This window comes from Homo sapiens, chromosome 17 (assembly GCF_000001405.40).
Source record: "Homo sapiens chromosome 17, GRCh38.p14 Primary Assembly".
NCBI classification, from domain to species: Eukaryota; Metazoa; Chordata; class Mammalia; order Primates; family Hominidae; genus Homo; species Homo sapiens.
This window is the reverse complement of record NC_000017.11, coordinates 74,293,136-74,307,907: the sequence shown is the minus strand read 5'-3', so window position 1 is coordinate 74,307,907 and position 14,772 is coordinate 74,293,136. Positions and strand designations below refer to the sequence as shown.

Genomic DNA, 14,772 nt, shown 5'->3' with positions numbered 1-14,772 from the left:
AAGAATTGCTTGAACCCAGGAGGTGAAGGTTGTAGTGAGCCAAGATCGTGCCACTGCACTCCAGCCTGGGCAACAAAGAGACTTCATCCCCCCAAAAAAAGAAACATCTGGAGATTTTTGGACAATGAATAATTTTTAGTATAAGTATATACCAAATATTGCATGGGACATACTTATACTAAAAAAAAAATAGTTTTTTTTTTTAAAATTCAGATTTAACTAAGTGCCAAATATTATTTTTTTTTGAGACGGAGTCTCACTCTGTCGCCCAGGCTGGAGTGCAGTGGCGCAATCTCGGCTGGTCTTGAACTCCTGATCTCAGGTGATCCACCCGCCTCGGCCTCCCAAAGTGCTGGGATTACAGGCGTTAGCCACCAAGCCCAGCTGATTTTTTGTATTTTTATTAGAGATGGGGATTCACCATATTGGCCAGGCTCGTCTTGAACTCCTGACCTCAAGTGATCCTCCCGCCTCAGCCTCCCAAAGTGCTGGGATTACAGGCATTAGCCCACTGCACCTGGCCCAGGGTCAAATATTCTTATTTGCTAAATTTGTTTAACCTTATGCAGGAGGAGGACAAGGGAGACCCAGGTTCTACGACACAGGTCCACCAAGTCCCTCTAGGAACCAGCCCTGCGAAAGGCCTATGGGTGCTGTGCTCGACACCCTGCTCCTTTCACACAGCCCTGGCAGCCTGCAGGACCTGAAGACATTGGGAAGGCTCCTAAAGCCTGTAAAGGGCTTCACATCTACTGGGAACCCCCTACTTGCTATGAGGCCTGGAACAATGCACTGCCCTTGTCAGCCAGCGTTCCCACCCCTGTAGAATGAGGACATCGAACCAGGTTTCTGCTCCCAAAGCAAGGACTGGCTGAGTCACAAGCCTGGGGTTGCTCCTTAGCAAACCCATTCCTGGGCTAAGCCCAAGATTCTATGTTAGTACCCCCAGGGTTGGGGCTGAGAATCTGGATTTTAAAAAAATCACTCCTCCACCAGGCACGGTGGCTCATGCCTGTAATCCCAGCCCTTCGGGAGGCTGAGGCAGGCGAATCACCTGAGGTCAGGAGTTTGAGACCAGCCTGGCCAACATGGGGAAACTCTGTCTATACTAAAAATACAAAAATTAGCTGGGTGTGCTGGCGTGCGCCTGTAATCCCAGCTACTCAGGAGGATAAGGCAGGAGAATCGCATGAACTCGGGAGGTGGAGGTTGCAGTGAGCCGAGATCTCGCCATTGCACTTCAGCCTGGGTGACAGAGTAAGACTCCATCTCAAAAGCATTTTAACAAACAAACAAAAACTCCTCCCAAGATATTCTGATGCAACCAGATTTGGGAAGCACTGGAACCAAAGATGCTCATTAGGGTTGCTGGTGGCTTTGACGTTGCAGGAGTCTGTGGTTCTGTGGGCAGGAAAGGAACCCCAGGATGTTTTTTTTAGCAAGAGAAAAAAGTAATTATTTATACATGCAATGCACAATACACATGGCAGTGCTCGGTGGTGAATGACTCAAGGGGGTGGTTAGAATTCGGGCTTATTACCTAATTTAGGAGATGAAGGGGAGGAGGAGAAAGGGCACTTTTAGACAAGGTAAATGGGCCCTAAGAAGAATGGAGGGGGATGTGATAGTCTAAGCTTCTCTGGTCTAACCATTGTGCTCATAGCTCTGTCTCAAGCTCCCTGTCTGTTGCTCTCCTCAGAGGAGTGGCACTGAGCAAGACAGGCTATGCCTCACTGCTGAATTGTGCCAAGGCACCCGCATTTCCCAGCCAAGCTTCCTTGGTTCACACCCAATCTCGGCTCCTCACTAGCTGGGAGAGCAGGAGCAAGTGGCTTGGCCTTTCTGTAGCCCAGTTCCCTAACATGAAAAATGAGATGAAGAGAAGAGCAATGCTGCCTCCTCCTGGGGATAGTTTGAGGATTATGAAAATTAAGCCAGCCAGACGCGGTGGCTCACACCTGTAATCCCAACGCTTTGGGAGGCCGAGGTGGGCAGATCACCTGAGGTCAGGAGTTCAAGACCAGCCTGGCCAACGTGGCAAAATCCCATCTCTACTAAAAATACAAAAATTAGTTGGGCATGGTGGCAGGTGCTTGTAGTCCCAGCTACTCAGGAGGCTGAGGCAGGAGAGTCTCTTGAACCTGGGAGGTGGAGGCTGCAGTGAGCCGAGATCACGCCACTGCACTCAGTCTGGGGAACTAAGCGAGACTGTCTCAAAAAAAAAAAAAAAAAAAAAAGGAAATAAAATTAAGCCATGGCCATTATTTTTAGTAACTGAGTGTTTGAAGCTTATCACTTTGTGGAGTGGCTGGAGCAAGTCACTTGCTAACACGAGCTCGGGTGTTTGTGGAAAGGTTTTTCTCCATTTTACATATGGAGGCTCGGGACTCTCCGGGGCCCAGCTGGGCTCCCTCCATCCCCTCCTGTCTCCTGCATCCCCTCCTGTCCCCAGCATCGCCTCTTACTTGGTCCACATGATGGACGATTCCCGGCTGTCTTCAGACCAAATGCGGGCTGTCCAGTCGCCAACCGTCAGGAAGTTCTTCGGGTAGAAGGGGTTTCTCTGGAGGGCGTAGATGGGGCCATGATGGCCCGGGAAGGTGCACACAATCTTTTCAGCTGACGTCTTGGCCTTGCGGTTGCAGGAGATGACGATGCCCTGCTCGGTCCCCACCATGAACTTGGTGGGCTGTGGAAGGAGTGACACAGGAGGGGAAGACTCCACGAACCATCAATTCTGGGATTAGCGGGCATGGACAGGAGCTTGCTTGGGGGGTCTGCAGGCGCTAGAAAGGCCCTCAGATCAAGCCTTGGCAAGGGCTGTGGCCCCTCCTGGAGAGCAGTCCCCACTCTTCCCGGGCTCCTCAGACCCCATCTTTTTGGAAGCTGCTCAAGGAGCCTGTGCTGAATGAAGCCCTCCCTGGCTCCTCCAGTCCTGGAGGGTTGTCAGGTCACTAGCCCCCTCTGCAGAGCACCACTGTGTCCTCGATGCATTTGGCCATAAAGATCCTGAATGTTTGTTTACAGAGAGAGTAAAGAAGACCCAGGGAGGGGATGCAGGGTGGCCCACCCAGATCACTCATGGGATGGGCAGAGCCTTCCCTGGCAAGACAGTGACATTTGTCATAGCATTGTCCAGGCTGGTGTCCCTGAGAACTCAGAGCAGGTGACCAACCAGCACTCAGGAAGTTACCTGGCAGTCGGTGATGTAACTCGTCCCCCTACCACTGGTGGGTGAGCTCTTTGAGGGGCACGAGCTTGTCTGACATGGGTCCATCGCCCACGAACTGAGCTTTAGTAGTTATTCACTTCACTGCGGACTGAATGCACAAAGGCTGGTCTCCTGACTCCTGGTCCAGTGCTCCCCTCGCGTCTCTGAGCATGACCCCCTCCATCACGCAATGCCCTTCCTTGTTTACTGTTCTGTCTTAACTTCTGGGCTAGACTGAACAACCTCCACCAGCAGGGCCTGAGCCTACAATGGTGCTGTGTCCTCAGCATTCCAAATGGAAAGAACAGCTGAGTGAGGTAGGGGAGGGGCACACTGAGGGGAGGGCCTTTGTCAACGGGCTCAGATGTCCTCTGCAGCTGGTGAACCTGCCCCTATAGAACTCCCAGGTTTTAGGCAGAGGTTGCAGTGAGCCGAGATCATGCCACTGCACTCCAGCCTGGCCTACAGAGCAAGGCCCTACCTCAAAAAAAAAAAAAAAAAAAAAAAAAAGAAAAAAGAAAAAGAAAAAAGAAAAGAAAAGAAAAAAGAACTCCTAGTTTATTTATTTATTTCTCGAGACAGGTTCTGGCTCCATTGCCCAGGCTGGAGTGCAGCAGTGCGATCTCAGCTCACTGCATCCTTGACCTTCTGGGCTCAAGCAGTACTCCCACCTCAGCCTCCCACGTAGGGACCACAAGCACACACCACCAGGGTCAGCTAATTTTTGTATTTTTGTAGAGATGGAGTCTCCCTATGTTGTCCAGACTGGTCTCAAACTCCTAAGCTCAAGTGATCTGCACACATCGGCTTCCCAAAGTGCTGGGATTACAGACCTGAGCCACTGCACCTGGCCCCCCAGCTTTTTTATTTTTATTTTTTTAAAAAACATATTGTTTTATTATGCAGTTTTCTTCTACCAGAAAATTACTAAAATGATAAATATAAAATCTCTAGAAAATACCCAGAACATGGCCAGGTGTGGTGGTTGAGGCACGAGAATCACTTGAACCTGGGAGGCAGAGGTTGCAGCGAGCCAAGATCATGTCACTGCACTCCAGCCTGGGCAAGAGTGAGACTCTGTCTCAAAAAAAAAAAAAAAATCAGCCTGGCTTGGTGGCATGTGCCTGTGGTCCCAGCTGCTCAAGAGGCTGAGGCTTGAGCCCAGGAGGTGGATGTTGCAGTAAGCTGAGATTACACAACTGCACTCCAGCATGGGCAACAGAGCAAAACGATGTCTCAACAAAACAAAACAAAAACCTGGGCTTCAAGTTGGGCGTCAAGGGCAAGTGGAAAGACCAAGCTTGAGAGGTCCAGAGAAGAAAGTATTCAAGCCGACTGCACGCCGCCCGTCAGTGAGCCAGAGAGAAAGGCCACCCAGATCTGAGTGGCCCATCGTGCCTCTAGCCTCAGACTTCATGGTGGGCTGCAGGTGGACACTCTGGGCCTCAGAGTTGGAGCCCTGGGTTTGAGTCCCAGCTTTACCAGGTACTAGGACTCACAACCTAATCTCATGAAGACTCATCGTGTGTGTCTGGCAAGTACGGATAATAACATTACCCCACGAGATGGTTGTAGGCGACTGCACAAGCTTATTAAATCAGGCAGCCACAAGTGTCCAACACACAGTGTGCACCCTGCAAGGGCCAGGCATGGAGGAGATGGCCCTAGTAGTGATGTGGCTGCATGTCTAGCACTTGGCCTAGAAAGCCTTGCCTCTGGGACAGAATGTTTTCCTGAGCCCTCGCCACCCCAACCTCCCTGCCCAGTGCCTTGTCCTCTGGGGAGGGGGTCAGTGGAATTGTCTCCTCCTTCCATCAACATTCATCTCTCAGCCTTGAGCTAGGGTTGCCCAGGTATGTTCGAGGCCAGGGCCTCCCAAAGCCCTAGGAATGATGGCCCATGACCCCGAAGCAAACAAGTGACACCCCCAAGGGGGAACCAGGCCTGGGCTGCACTAAGACGTAAACCAAGACTCAGCCCAAACCAAAAGCCAACAACAAGGGAAAGTTGTCTTCTTACTCTAGCGAGGAAGTCTTCCTTTACTGCTTCTAGGAAGCTTCCCTCCTCTAACACATTTGCACTATGCTCAAACTGATATTTCCTGTTTTTCTTTTCTTTGTTTTTTTTTTGAGATGGAGTTTCGCTCTTGTCGTCCAGGCTGGAGTGCAATGATGCGATCTTGGCTCACCGCAACCCCCGCCTCCCAGGTTCAAGCAATTCTCCTGCCTCAGCCTCCCGAGTAGCTGGGATTACAGGCGTGCGCCTCCACGCCCAGCTAATTTTGTATTTTTAGTAGAGATGGGGTTTCTCCATATTGGTCAGGCTGGCCTCGAACTCCCAACCTCAGGTGATCCGCCCGCCTTGGCCTCCCAAAGTGCTGGGATTACAGGTGTGAGCCACCGTGCCTGGCCCTTTTTTTCTTTTCTTATGTAGGGACAGTGTCTTGCTATGTTGTCCAGGCTGGTCTTGAACTGCTGGGCTCAAGTGATCCTGCCACCTCAGCCTCCCAAAGTGCTGGGATTACAGGTGTGAGCCACGGCGCCTTGCCTCACATTGATATTTTTCTTCTTTTTCTTTCCTTCCTTCCTTCCTTCCTTCCTTCCTTCCTTCCTTCCTTCCTTCCTTCTTTCCTTCCTTCCTTCCTTCCTTCCTTCCTTCCTTCCTTCCTTCTTTCCTTCCTTCTTTCCTTCCTTCCTTCCTTCCTTCCTTCCTTCCTTCCTTCCTTCCTTCTTTCCTTCCTTCCTTCCTTCCTTCCTTCCTTCCTTCCTTCCTTCCTTCCTTCCTTCTTTCCTTCCTTCCTTCCTTCCTTCCTTCCTTCCTTCCTTCCTTCCTTCTTTCCTTCCTTCTTTCCTTTTCTTTCCCTCTCTCTCCCTCTCTTTCTTTCTTTCTTTCTTGGTAAAGACTGGGCGGGCGGTGGGGGGGGTCTCATTATGTACCCAGGCTGGTCTTAAATTCTTGGCCTCCCAAAGTGCTGGGATTACAGGCGTGAGCCACCCTGCCCGACCTGAACTTTGATATTTCTTTGTCATTCTCAGTGACTGAACACCGAGACCATGCTTGTGCTCTGGTTTTCCAAGGAGCCTGCTTTGACCTCATTTTCCTCTCCAGTACCTCTTCCTTCCCCAGAGGAAGGCAGGTGACCAGCCTAGGGACCCCGTGCCAGGCAGGGCCAGGACCTGGGTTGGAGTCCAGGCCTCCCGATGTTGGTCCTGGGCGTGACCTTCCCCACAAAACAGGGCTTTTCTGGAATTGTTCTGTCAAAAGATTGCCCTCTGTGTTCAGCTGGGCCACTGGCCAAAAGATGACTTGGTGCCATGATGACTATGGTGTCCTTCTTCGAGAAGCTCTGCTGCCCCCTGCTGGAAAGTTGTTGTAAAGGCCACACACGTCTAGGATGGCTGCAGTGAGGGTGGCCTCCCTGGGCTGGTGCTGGGTTCCACGAGCACCTGATATCCTAGCAATGGCCTGTCTTTAGCCCTGGCTGCCCTGTCAATGCAAGTCGGGGAAGGGACAGCAAGGGACACTCACCAAAGTAGATTCGAACTCCAGGGAGATGGCCCCCAAGGCATTTTCCAACTGTTCCTTCTTGGTGATGTCCAAGATCACAACTTCAGTGGGCTCGCTCATCTTTCGGATGTCCCACCACATGACCTGGTGGGAGGAGGGGCGACAGTGAGACTTCGAGGCCCTGTATTTCCCCTGGCTTTTGCCTTCTCCGCCCTCACCCCACCGTCCTGGGGTCAGCCACTGGGCCACAAAGGATGGAGCTCCCGGCAATTCGTGGGAGCAAATACACTTTGAGGATTGCTGTTCTGTCCACAGTTCCCACACCTGGCTGATCATCAGAGTCGCCGGCAAGCTTCATACAACCCAGATGCTGAGGCCTCGCCCTCGACCTACTGAATCAAAACCTCCAGGTGCAAGGCCAAGAATCGGTATATGCCAAGACTCCCCACAATAAGGCAATATCCGGCAATGTTAAAAATGCATGTGTGCTCCGACCTAGAAGTCCCACTGCCAGCAATGTCTGCTGTAGATATATCCCCGCATGTGTGCAACAATCTGTGTATAAAGATGCTCTTTGCTGTATTTTTTGGGGGGTAGCAACAAAATATTAGAATCCATATATAAATTATGGTACACCCACATGATGCAGTTATTAATAGGCATGGGGCAGCGGTGTATGAAATATGAAACTATCTCCAAGGTACACACAATGGAAAACATCGAGTACAGAATAGTGTGTGAAGTGTGCAAAAAGAAAGAGTAAAGAAGAGAGAGGTGTGTTTCCTTGCATACGCAGAGACTAGCTCTGAAGGCAGACATAAGAGAGGGAGGGAGGGGAGGAGGTGCAGGCAGAGGTGAGAGGAAGGCATTTTCTTTTTTGCACCCTTTAGATTCTGTTCCGTGGGCATGTATTATCACTACTCAACTTAAAAATAAAGTGTTAGGCTGGGCGCAGTGGCTCATGCCTGTAATCCCACCACTTTGGGAGGCCAAGGCGGGTGGATCACCTGAGGTCAGAGTTCGAGACCAGCCTGGCCAACATAGTGAAGCACCATCTCTACTAAAAATAAAAAATTAACCAGGCATAGTGGCAGGCGCCTGTAATCCCAGCTACTTGGGAGGCTGAGGCAGGAGAATTGCTTGAACCCGGGAGGCAGAGGTTGCAGTGAACCAAGATCGTGCCATTGCACTCCAGCCTGGGCAACAAGAGTGAAACTCCATCTCAAAATAAAATGTGTTAAAGGAAATGTCCCCAGGGGTTCTGATGGGGAACCAGGGAACAGTTACTGCCCCTCCCTTCCCTCCTCTCTCCAGTGTCTGGCTGGTGGGTACCTGCCCATCCGTGGAAGCTGAGAAGCACTCGGTGCCCGTCTTCGACTGCAGCCAGATGGTGCCATACACAGGGTCTCGGTGGCTGGACTCAATGGTGGATAGCTCCGCCACCAGGCTGCCCTTTCGGGTGTCCCAGCAGGCTGGTGAGGAAGGAGATGAAGAAGGAGTGGAAGGGGGCACAGGCTTCCTTCCTTAGGGCAGGGAGCAGGGGAGAGAGGGGGCTGCTGCTTCTGGTTTGGCAGGTATGTGGTTTTCTAGAATCAGGGCTTGGTTCAAATCAGCCTGAGTTTCCTACCAGCCTCTACAGACTCTCTGGAGAGACTCCCAGAGTGCAAGCTTCATTCAGTTCCTTGAGCCCCTCCCAGGCATTGACTCCCTACCCAACACTTGGCCCTGGGCAAGCCTCTGGGGATAGGACAGGCATAGTGGCAGGGGAACACATGAGGGTGGTCAGGGAAGGCCTCCTGGAGGAAGTGACAGGTAGCTGAGATGGAAGATGAGCCTCAGGATGGAGGGAGCCAGGCGAGAGGAGAGCCGAGTCCCTAACGTAGGGAAAAGCACGTGGAAAGACTCCATTTAGGTGAATCTCTCTGCTACATTAGCCCATTTCCTCTTATCCTTTGTACCTCTGCTGCCTCTGTTGGAAAGAAACTCACAGAGGAGCTTTAGCCTTTACTGTGATCTGTTATTAGTGCTTTGCCAAGAAAGATGGAAAGGTTATCTGTCCTTTGTCCTGTTAGATTTCGTTTCCATTTTCCCATGAATGCACAATGAGGGCTCACCCTGTCACTCAGAGCTGTTTCTAGGAAAGGCCGTTTTGTAAAATAACAAAAGTACTTAGCTCGTAAGCTTTGACTTAGTATTTCTCCAAGTTCAAGGCATTTTCCCTGAACTCAGCTGGCCCAGAAATATGTTTTCTTAGATACGCCTGCTCAGCCAAGCACAGTGGCTCATGCTTGTAATCCTAGCGCATTAGGAGGCCGAGGCAAAAGGATTGCTTGAGCCCAGGAATCCAAGAGCAGCTTGGGCAACATAGTGAGACCCCGTCTCTACAAAAAATTTAAAACCTAGCTGGGCATGGTGGCACATGCTACTCGGGAGGCTGTTACTCGGGAGGCTGCCTGCTACTCGGGAGGCTGAGGTGGGAGAATTGCTTGAGCCTGGGAGGTTGAGGCTGCAGTGAGCCATGATCGTGCCACTACACCCCAGCCTGGGTGACAGAGCAAGACCCTGTCTCAAAAAATAAAAATAGGCCAGGCCTGGTGGCTCACACCTGTAATCCCAGCACTTTGGGAGGCTGAGGCAGGTGGATCACTTGTGGTCAGGAGTTCAAGACCAGCCTGGCCAACATGATGAAACCCCATCTTTACTAAAAACACAAAAAAATTAGCTGGGCGTGGTGGCAGGCACCTGTAATCCCAGCTTCTCAGGAGGCTGAGGCATGAGAATCACTCGCACCTGGGAGGCAGATGTTGCAGTGAGCTGAGATCATGCCATTGCACTCCAGCCTGGGCAACAAAGCAAGGCTGTCTCAAAAACAAAACAAAAAATAAAAATAAATAAAAATAAAAGATAAGCCTGTTCTACTTTGGCAAAGCAGTGCTCAAGAGTAGGTCCCACTGGGTCCCACATGGCCCTAGAGGGGCCCTTCTTGGAGCAGCGGAGCACCAGAGTCTGGGCTGGTATGAGCTGGCATGAAAAACCACTGAAAGAGGTTATGAATAATGACTGAGTCAAGGCTCTTGAATTAATCATGGCAAAGTGGCTCTGCCTCAGTCTTTTAGAGCTCTGGCACCCAGATAGTTTGGCAGGGACGTTTATGGGAGCCCGGGTCTATTCCATAATCTGAAAGCTCCCCTGGGCAGGAGGCAGCAGGTCTGAGAGGGAGATCGGGGCCTTAGGAAGCAGCTGACTACAGACAGCTTCAGAGGAGGAGTTTCTCAGCCATCCTGGCTCCCACTCCCGAAGAAGCAGCAAAAGTATAAGAACATACAGAGCAGAGAGGAGTGGGGAATGCTTTTTACGCCCAGGGTCAAGACTGGCCTGGGTGTAGTCATGGGTTGGGTGTCTGGCGACTCCAGGTTCAGGGGAACAGAGCAGGTAGGGACATTCAGAGCCAACCCAGGCAGGTGACTTCTGATCTCACTGGAGATTAAAAAAAAAAAAAAGCAGTTTGGGCTGGGCTTGGTGGCTCACGCCTGTAATCCCAGCACTTTGGGAGGTCAAGGTGGGTGGATCACTTGAGGCCAGGAGTTTGAGAACAGCCTGGCCAACATGACAAAACTCTGTTTCTATTAAAAATACAAAAATTAGCCAGGCGTGGTGGCATGCACCAGCCTCTGGGGAGGCTGAGGCAGGAGGATCGCTTGAACCCAGGAGGCGGAGGTGGCAGTGAGCTGAGATCACACCACTGTACTCCAGCCTGGGTGACAGAGCAAGACCCTGTCTCAAAAAAAAAAAAAAAAAGTCTGGGCACGGTGGCTCATGCCTGTAATCCCAGCACTTTGGGAGGCCGAGGCAGGCAGATCACGAGGTCAAGAGATCAAGACCATCCTGGCTAACACAGTGAAACCCCGTCTCTACTAAAAAAAAAAAATACAAAACATTAGCTGGGCGTGGTGGCGGGCACCTGTAGTCCCAGCTACTCGGGAGGCTGAGGCAGGAGAATGGCATGAACCTGGGAGGCGGAGCTTGCAGTGAGCCAAGATCGTGACATTGCACTCCAGCCTAGGTGACACAGCGAGACTCTGTCTCAAAGAAACAAACAAACAAAAATCAGTTTTCCAGGTGTGCCATCAGCAAAATCCGTGAAGTAAGGACCTCCAAAAATTCTCTCCTCCATAATAGCAGTGAGAAAACTGGCAAAAATGGTCAGAATCAACTTTTTCAGAACTCTGGAAATTAGCCAGAGGCTTAGGGCAGTCGGGAGAATGTTTATTCAAGAAAAACAGCAGAATCTTGGTAAGAACAGTGGCATTTTCACTTGCCCTAGTTAAGATCGCACACTCTGCAGTTCCGTGGTGGCCTTGAAAATTCACATTCTGCACTCCTGATGAAAAACAGCAGCCTGGCGCCACAAGAGGGAGCAGAATGAGGCTGGAGCTCCTTTCAAGTCTCATGCCCAAAGAACTGTCATTATCTGACCGGTCTGGTGGTTCCCTGATAAGGCTCCTCTTGCAAGGTTGGCTGTAATTGACTTGGTTCAGCCTTTGCCTGGTGTGAAAAGTCTTTTCATCAGGGTGTAATTGCAGGCAACTGACTAACTTTGCAGCTTCCTGAGGCAGTGGATAACAGGTGGGGAAAGGAATAGACCTACCGAAAAGCTTAAAAGGAAAAGCTGGGCCGAGTACAGTGGCTCACGCCTGTACTTTGGGAGGCTGAGGCAGGACTGCTTGAGGCCAGGAGTTCACAACCAACCTGGTCAACATAGCAAGACCCTGTCCCTATTTTCTTTCTTTCTCTCTCTCTCTCTCTCTCCCTCCCTCCCTCCTTCCCCCTTCCTCTCTCTCTCCTCTCTCTCTCTCCTCTCTCTCTCTCTCTCTCTCTTTAAAGGCAAGATCTCACTATGCTGCACAGGCTAGTTTCAAACTCCTGAATGCAGGCGATCCTCCCGCCTCAGCTTCTCAAAGTGTTAGGATTACAGACGTGAGCCACTGTGCTCAACTTCTATTACATTTAAACAACAAAAGTAAATAAGTAAAAGGAAAAGCTGAAGCATGATGTGTCCACAGGGCTTTGAAAAGATCTGACATATTCCTGGGAGTCTAGAAGGTCACAAGCATGGATAGAGCTGTGTGCACGCCCAGAGCTGTGTCATGCTCAGGAAAACCGATAAAGCCCTAAACTCTCTGGCTGACCTCATCTCTGCACAGACACTAAGGCAGAGTTGACAACTGCCTGGCTGAGTGTAAAGGCATGCTCACACACGCACACAGAGCCCCTTAGCAGAGAAGGGGAGATTTTTTGGTGACAAATGCTTAAGGAAATCTTTGTTCAATCATTAACTAATCACTAAGCTAAGCAGAGACTATAAGTGGTCACACGTGACAGGGAATACAGACTTTCCAGAACTAGCTAAGAAAATGTATTAATGAAACAAAGAACAACTACAACAAACAGCAACAACACAAACTCTGGGAGGTATGTCAATCTGATTTGCAAAGTTGCCACATTAAATCATACAAAAAGTATAGTTTTTAATAAAAAAAAAATTATAAGACATGCCAAGAAATACAAATGTATGGCCCAAACACAGGAATAAAAAAGCAATAAATAGAGATTGTCCCCAAGAAGCCCAGATATTGGACTAACTAGACAAAGGCCTCACATCAGCTATGCTAAACATGTTCAAAGAACTAAAGGAAGTCACATCAAAAGAACTAAAGAAAAGCATGAGATGATCTCTCACCAAATAAAAGATACAAATAGACAAAAATCATTATCATTATTATTTTTGAAGACAGAGTTTCGCTTTGTTGCCCAGCCTGGAGTGCAGTGGCACAATCTCAACTTACTGCAACCTCTGCCTCCTGGGTTCAAGCAATTCTCTTGCCTCAGCCTCCCAAGTAGCTGAGATTGCAGGTGCACTCCACCTCACCTGGCTGATTTTTTTTTTTTTTTTTTTAAGTAGAGATGGGGTTTGACCATGTTGCCCATGCTGGTCTTGAACTCCTGAGTTCAGGTAATCCACCCACCTCAGCCTCCCAAAGTGCTAGGTTTCCAGGCACGAGCCACCACATCCAAATGAGACAGAAATTATTTTTAAAAGAAAGAACAAAATAGAAATTCTGGAGTCATTAACCAAAATAAAAATATAGCAGAGAAGCTACAGGATGGCATATTTGAGCAGGCAGAAGAATCACTGAACGTGAAGATGGGTCAATTGAGATTATGTAGTCTGAGGAATAGAAAGAAAAGAGAACAAAGAAAAACAGAGTCTAAAGACCTATGGGACACCATCAAGCATGCCAACATACACATAATGGAAGTCACAGAAGGAGAGGAGAGAGAGAAAGGGTAGGAAAGAATATTTGAATAAATAATGGTTGTAAATATTCCATATTTGATTTTTAAAAAAATAATCTACACATCCAAGAAACTCAATGAATTCCAAGTGGGATAAACTCAAAGATATCCATACCTAGAAACATCATAATCAAAGCTGAAGACAGAGACTCTTGAAAGCAGCAAGAGAAAAATGACTCATCACATACACAGGATCATCAATAAGATCAATAGCTTAAGTTGAGTGTGGTGGCTCACGCCTGAAATCCCAGCACTTTGGGAGGCCAAGGTGGGAGAATTGCCTGAGGCCAGGAGTTCAAGACCAGCCTGGGCAACATAGCAAGACCCTATCTCTACAAAAATTAAAAAATAAAAAAGTAGCTGAGTGTGGTGACGTGCACCTGTTGTCCCAACCACTCAGGAGGCTGAGGTGGGAGGATTGCTTGAGCCCAGGAGTTTGAGGCTGCAGTGAGCTATGATCACAGCACTGCGCTCCAGCTTGGGTGACAGAGTGAGACCTTGTCTCTAAAAAAAAAAGAAAAGAAAAAAAAAAAAGAAATGATAAGGGAATTAAAATGGTACACTAGAAAATACGTGGCACAAAAGAAGGCAGTTATGGAGAAAGAACAAAAAGATGTAAGACATATAGGAAAAAAAAGCAAAATGGCAGATGTAAACTTTATCAGTAATTAAATTAATGTAAATAGATTAAACTCTCCACTTAAAACCAGAGATAGATAGAATAGATTAAAAGGAAAAAACCACGATCCAAGCTGGGCGTGGTGGCTCATGCCTGTAATCCCAGCACTTTGGGAGGCCGAGGTGGGCATATCGCTTGAGGCCAGGAGTTCGAGATCAGCCTGGCCAACATGGTAAAACCTCATCTCTCCAAAACTACAAAAATTAGCTGGGCGTGGTGGCATGCACCTGTAATCCCAGCTACTCGGGAGGCTGAGGCAGGAGAATCGCTTGAACCCAGGAGGCGGAGGTTGCAGTGAGCCGAGATCACGCCACTGCACTCCAGCCTGGGTGACAGAGTAAGACTCTGTCTCAAAAACAAAACAAAACAAAACTATGATTCACTTGTATGCCAGCTACATGTAATCTACAAGAGACATACTTTATTTTTTTATTTTATTTTTATTTTTTTGAGATGGAGTCTCGCTCTGTCACCCAGGCTGGAGTTCAGTGGCATGATCTCGACTCACTGCAATCTCAGCTTCCCAGGTTCAAGCGATTCTCGTGCCTTAGCCTCCCAAGTAGCTGGGATTACAGGTGCGTGTCACCACACCTGGCTACAAGACATACTTTAGATTCAAAGAGGCAAACAGGTTAAAAGTAAAAGGATGGGGAAAGATATACCATGCAAATGGTAACCAAAGAGGGCTGGAGTGCTTATCTCAAAGACAGACTTTGAGATGAAAAATGCTACTAGAGACAAATGAAGACATCATATACTGATAAAAGGGTTAATTCACTAGGAAAACTTAACAATTATAAGCATGTGCATGTACCTAATAACATAGCCTTAACATACAGGAAGCAAAACCTGACAAAATTGAAGGAGAAATAGACAATTCAACAATAATAATGGCAGACATCAGTATCCTACTTTCAATAATAGACATAATTACTACGTGAAAGATCAACAAGGAAATAGAAGTCTTGACCAACACTATAGACAAGACCTCCCAGACAACTATAGAAAACTCCACTGG

At 48.8% G+C, this 14,772-nt stretch overlaps 1 protein-coding gene across 17 annotated transcripts in view, besides 1 other annotated feature; it reads right to left on the bottom strand.

Moving 5' to 3' along the window:
• The window catches only part of DNAI2 (dynein axonemal intermediate chain 2), a 40,651-nt gene that overhangs the window by 6,977 nt on the left and 18,902 nt on the right, over nucleotides 1-14,772 (bottom strand). For all 17 annotated transcript variants that reach the window (XR_007065388.1, XR_007065398.1, XR_007065399.1 and 14 more), the window contains 3 exons: nucleotides 8,051-8,190; nucleotides 6,740-6,862; nucleotides 2,466-2,689 (listed from right to left, as the gene is read on the bottom strand). Coding sequence is in view for 4 of the 17 variants with exons in the window: in NM_001353167.2 (NP_001340096.1) it covers nucleotides 2,466-2,689; nucleotides 6,740-6,862; nucleotides 8,051-8,190 (487 nt within the window). In the remaining 13 variants the exon portion in view is untranslated. The remainder of the gene's footprint in view (nucleotides 1-2,465; nucleotides 2,690-6,739; nucleotides 6,863-8,050; nucleotides 8,191-14,772) is intronic.
• Nucleotides 11,113-11,347: a silencer, noted in NCBI's record as "fragment chr17:72292700-72292934 (GRCh37/hg19 assembly coordinates)". NCBI's record gives its function as "represses an EF-1alpha promoter that drives an FKBP-Casp9 reporter gene in an ReSE screen in phorbol 12-myristate 13-acetate-treated (for megakaryocytic differentiation) K562 erythroleukemia cells {active_cell/tissue: K562(+PMA)}" and the evidence as "EXISTENCE:reporter gene assay evidence [ECO:0000049][PMID:32094911]".